The sequence below is a fragment of the Homo sapiens genome, chromosome 2 (assembly GCF_000001405.40).
Source record: "Homo sapiens chromosome 2, GRCh38.p14 Primary Assembly".
In the NCBI taxonomy this organism is placed as follows: Eukaryota; Metazoa; Chordata; class Mammalia; order Primates; family Hominidae; genus Homo; species Homo sapiens.
In genome coordinates this window covers 220646801-220652278 of record NC_000002.12, presented here as the reverse complement: position 1 = coordinate 220652278, position 5478 = coordinate 220646801, and the positions used below count along the sequence as shown (strand labels likewise).

The 5478-nt window shown below is 43.4% G+C and overlaps 1 annotated feature.

Annotated features, from left to right (window-relative positions):
• Positions 3316 to 3610: a silencer, noted in NCBI's record as "tiled region #1258; HepG2 Repressive non-DNase unmatched - State 24:Quies". NCBI's record gives its function as "represses a minimal TATA promoter and a strong SV40 promoter by Sharpr-MPRA in HepG2 cells {active_cell/tissue: HepG2}" and the evidence as "EXISTENCE:reporter gene assay evidence [ECO:0000049][PMID:27701403]".

Sequence of the window (5478 nt, the reverse complement as noted above, 5' to 3'; positions counted from 1 at the left end):
GCTAAGTTTTAGTAGAGACAGGGTTTCACCATGCTTCCCAGGCTGATTGCGAACTCCTGGCTTCAATTGATCTGCTCACCTTGGCTTCTCATAGTGCTGAGATTACAGGCATGAGCCACCGCAACCATCCTATATATGCATTTTTCAATGTCCTATAAGCTTCAATCAAATTGGACTCATGATATGAGATAATAATAGAAAGAGGCAGAAATTGTCCCAGGTTCATTGGAACAATGGCTAACTATATGAATCACCCACATTTACAGATCTAGGGAAATAGTTTACCAGCCATGGGACAAGAAGAAACAGATGTCATCGGAGAGACAGGGCTGTCCCAGGAGGCTCAGGACTATGCTGGACAGGGATTGTCTGACCCTGTGGAACCCATCTCCAGTGAGATACTGCAGGGCAAATGAGGACCAGGGGATTCTGTGCTGCTGCAGAAATACTGTCTCTGGAGTCCATTCAACTGTGGAGAAACAATATGTTCTTTCTCTCTGTTTCTCTTTCCCGGCTTCCTTCTTCCCTCTCAGCATAGGAATCTTACCTAGAAAAGTCAAACGTCTCTTTGAGCTTCTCTGGGAGATGTAAGCCTAGAGGCACCGACCAAGAGAAGAAAGCAGAACAGCCTCCAGTCCTGATTCATGCTGAGGTCTTCAGGAGGGAGCATCCAGTGGGAGTAAGCAGAAGAGTTCGAGTCTTGCTTTTTCCTTTCCATTGAAGTGTAGACTCCTGTAGGGCAAGTCTGAATCTGTTTTGTTCAATACTTCATACATTATATATAACACACAGCTTGGTATGTAGTAGATACTTAAAACTATGTGATGAATGCATCGAAGGATGAATTAAGCATCCCACCTCTGAATGTGGGCTCTCTGACAATGCACTGTCCCCCAGTCTCCCAACCTGATGAGTCATGGTAAGGTGGTCCTCAGGTCTCTGAGGGTCCTAAAGATTCCATGATCTATGGTTATGTTCTGCTTCATTTTTGCATTACTAACATGGAGACAGAGCTTCTTCTTGTGCTGAAATTCCAGTATTTTCACCTCCCCCTACCTGGTGCTGACAGTATTGGTGGAGAGGTTGATCACAGGCTACACAGATTAGCCTCTCCAATTCAGATGGATGCTGAAAACCACCTCAGCCACAACCTTGCTGCCTTCTTCTTCTCTTTTCATCTTTTCTTCCTGCTTGCCAGAGGGTTCAGGATAGTAAGAGAAAAAAATACCACGTCTCTGGTCCAAACACTGTCTTTCTACTGAGTATTCCTTGCAGTGGGGCTCACTTCCATGGTGGCTGGAACTGCTGGTGGGGAAGGTGGAGTGAGCAGGACTGAAAGGCGGTGCAGAAATGAGAAGGAAGAGGAGAAAGAGATGCAACCTTAGAAGACCAGGAGCTACCAAGTACAGGACAGGGTGATTATATTTACAATGAGATTCTCATATCCTCTTCTCTGCAGTCACCATAGGGCTATGCCTGCTCCAAGGTCACACTGTGCAGTGCAAAATTGGTTTCAGGGGCTTCACTTCAACAGTCCACTAATACAAAAGGGAGAGCTCATGTCTCTTTCTTCAACACCTGAACTCTGCAAATGTTTCTGAGATTGACCCAGTTCTTTCTTATCACTCTCCCTGAACACACGGTTCTGTCTTATCAGTTCCCTGGGATTGAGCCTAGACAGCCAATCCCATTCAGCATCTGCTGTCTGCTAGAGTTATCCAGTTTTGCTCAATCTCTCCTGCCTGTTCAGAGCCTCTCTCAGCACCAGCACAACAGCCCTCTGTCTGTTCTATTTTTGTTATGATCAAGCTGTAAAATAAAATGAAAATAAGTGGTAATGAATTACTTGCAGAATCCCATATTGTTAGTATTGATTAAATATTTGCTGAAACGTTTTCTCTGATGAGAAAGGGGAGAGGGATGATTGATTACCAACCCTGGAAGGAGTTATGTTGTGGCTGAAAGCTACAAGAGTTAAAGCCAGTCAAAATCTGGTTTCAAGTCCAGAAGCTTCTACTTCCTAGCTGTGTGACTGAGACAAGGTACCTGATCTTCATGAGCCTCAGTTTGCTTTCCTACAATGCCTGGGTAAATGACAGTATCTCACCTAATCATTGTGTACAGCTCTATGTCTAGCACTGGTATGCATTTAGCAAACACTGCATCTCTAGCATCAATGCTTCCTTCCTGGAAGGAAAAAACAACTGTTCAGAATTCTTGTCTTGTGCTGTTTCTATATAGGTTCTAGCAAAAAACAGAAGTTGAAAATCAAGGTGATTGCAAAGATGGCCATGGTAGCTACTGAGCAAGTGTAGTATATAACAGGTGGGGAGAGAAAATAAACTGGGTAATTTAACCACCTAAAAGTTTTAATCATCTTTAAGTGTTTGTCCTTAAACCCAATCTCAACATAATCTGCCTCAAGTACACTAAACTGTTTTAGACAATCCCGTCCATTCAACTAATATTTAGCTGAAGTAGATGTTAGATATCATGTTTGGCACTTACTGGAGCCATTTCATTTGGTGATAACTAAGAAATTATAATCCTCTCTCTAAGGAGTTCAAATGGAGAAGCCTCAGATGACACATATGCAATAAATTATGATACCATGTATTAATAGCTATAATAAAAGTATGAAAAAACTGTCATTGAAGGTTGAATTAATTCAACCTTTCAAATTCTCAGTTAAAATGACAGTTGGAAGCCTGGATGCATTATGACAAAAATAACTTATACTACCAATTTGCAGAAATGTATTTGGAAATGGTAAAACCTGAGCCGGCCTGATTAATAGCCATCAAGCTGGGTCAATAACAATGAATCAATACTAAATAAAAAGGATGCTCAAGATCAATGAGAGGTAAGACTTGTGATTATGCCTAAATCACTCCCCTTCAAAGTGCTTTACCAACATCCACTAATTAATCTTTATTATATTGTGTTGAGAATGATAAGTATCATTATCCCCAAATAACATTTTGAAGCACTAGGGTTTAGTGCCTTTCCCAGAAGATGCCCAGTATGAGACCTGAGCACTTGCTCAGAGCCAGGAGAGCTAATCAGCTCTTGATATTCTATCTTAGGAGGCACCTTTGGTTAAGAGCATCAAAAGCAGAATCTGTGATATGTGACCTAGAGCCCCAGCACCATTCTTCAGTAGATGGGTGACTTTGGATGAGTTAAAGTCTTTGAGCTTCATTTATTGAAAGACATTGATGCCATCTCCATAAAAGGCTATTTTAATGTTAGAATGAGTTAATGCTTATCAACCCTTGGAAAATAATAAGGGCTCAATAAATAGCAAGCATTGTTGTTGCTGCTGTTGTTATATTTATTTTTGGAAACACTGGCCATGAACTGGGGTTTACCAGAGGATGGGGCCAGCTACGAGATGCTCACAGCAGGATTGGGAGCTGCCCTTTGGGATGAAAGGAAACTAAAGTGACTCGAGCACTTGCTATGTGCCAGTCATTGCTTAGGTGGTTTATGCTTTGGATTTCAAATTGTTCTTCCTTTTATTCCTCACAACAACCCTGCTATGGAGCAAGCAGAGGTAAAGCCAGAGCCTGGGCTCTTTCCTCTGGCACATGGCAGCTTCTGCTGTCCTGGGGCAGGTGGAATAGATGGTGAGAGGGTGGTCCCTGCTGCAGTGGTAGAAAGCAGAGGAGAATCCAGGGCAGCAGTACTTAGGAACTCAGACTGGTAGGCAGGTAGTCTAGTGCCAGGAAGTCCATCAGCAAGGGTGAGACAGATGTTAAGCTGGATGCCAGGTAGGCTTCAGCAGAAGAATGCAAGAACAGCAGGGCAGATCTTCTGCCCCAAGATTAGGGGATTAGGAAGAATATGAAAAATATATACCCGGGGCCTGAGAACTACAGTAAAATCCAGAGATGACAGCAAGATCCAAGGGCAGAGGGCAATGCCTCTTCTGATAGGCACAGATAATGGAAATGAAGGCCAAGGTCAGGGCAGGAACATTACCAAGTAAACCTGACATCAAGTAGGGTTCTTATTTACTTTTAGCCACTGAATCTCTGTTTTGTTACTAATTTATTACCTCTCAGCTCCAAATACACCCTTCAACACATGCTCTCTGATAACAGAATCCTTTTAAATATTTCTCCTTTAAAGTGAGCACAACCTTTAACCTTTCTCTGTAAAAGGTGCTGAAGAAAGATTGCAGGAAAAATTTACAGTGCTGGCGGGAGAGCTTGGCAGTGTAGATAGACAGACAAATGTTTCCTGAGCCCCTCCAAGCACCACATAAAGCCTGGCCCATCAGGTAAAGCCTGGTCCAGCCACAGGCCCAGAACACAGTCCTTCTGTGATTTTGCAGTTACTCATCCAACAGAATTCATAAGTACTTCTATTAAACTTCTTTTCAACCTAGTTTATGGTTTCTATCTCCAGATTCTACTCATTGTATGACAACTCCTTTTTTTCATTTGAAACTTTACCTGAAACCCAGTATATTAGCATGAAATCCAAATTCTGTAAGGCCCGTGTGACCTGCCTCCTGCCTTCTCTCTGACACACTCTTAAGTGCTCATGGTTCCTGAATACACAAGGCTTCCTTCCTGGCTTAGCTCTCTGCAGTCTTCAGACCATCTGCCTAGAAAACCCTCCCCCTGAACTTCCTGGCAGAGCCACAGCCCTCTCCTCAGGCAGCACCCCATCTAAGGCAGCCCCTCAAATCACTCTTTTTATAAGTGGTTAATTAATGTTTATAGCACTTATCACTCACTAAAATTGTCTTATTTGCTCTTACCCCTACCAGCTCCCCCGCCACTGACGTGCACTCCACAACCCCATCCTCCTGGCTCTTGTCCAAGAAGTAGAGTCCTTGTTGATTGTGTCACCTGTATCCCACCAGCATCCAGCACAGTACCTGGCCCCTGGAGGGGTTCGGTAAACTTTTGTCAAGTGAAAGAATGCCAAATGGAGAGCGCTGATAGAAGCCTCCAAGCCTAAGCCTCAGTCCTCTTCCCTCCCTCCACATCTCAACTCTTCTGTGGCCACTAAAGCACTTTAGTAAGACAACAGGATGCCCGGGAACTGTCCTAGGGAATACAGCTGGAACTCCTTAATCCCAGCCTCCCTTGAAATCATGATGGTTCCTTGAGCCCACAAAGTGGCAATGAGCTCTGTGCCCAAGGGGAATGCAGAGAACCTGGGGACCAGGCTGCATGGCCGGTGATCCCAGGGGTCATGCCAGAGGACTAGAAACTCAAACTCCTGCTTCTGACTATGGCAGACAGACTGCTCTCTAATGTAAGTGAGAGCCCGTGTGTGCCCTTTACTTATATTTTTGCTTTTTTTTTTTTTTTTTTTTTTTTTTTTGGTCAATGGGAGATTTTAAAATAAAATGCCTCTAAACCTAGAATCATAAGAGGCACTGCAGAAAGAGACCTTGGCATCACCCAGTGAAACCTCCTACTCAATTTACCTTTTTGTCATCCACTTTTGGGAACTCTA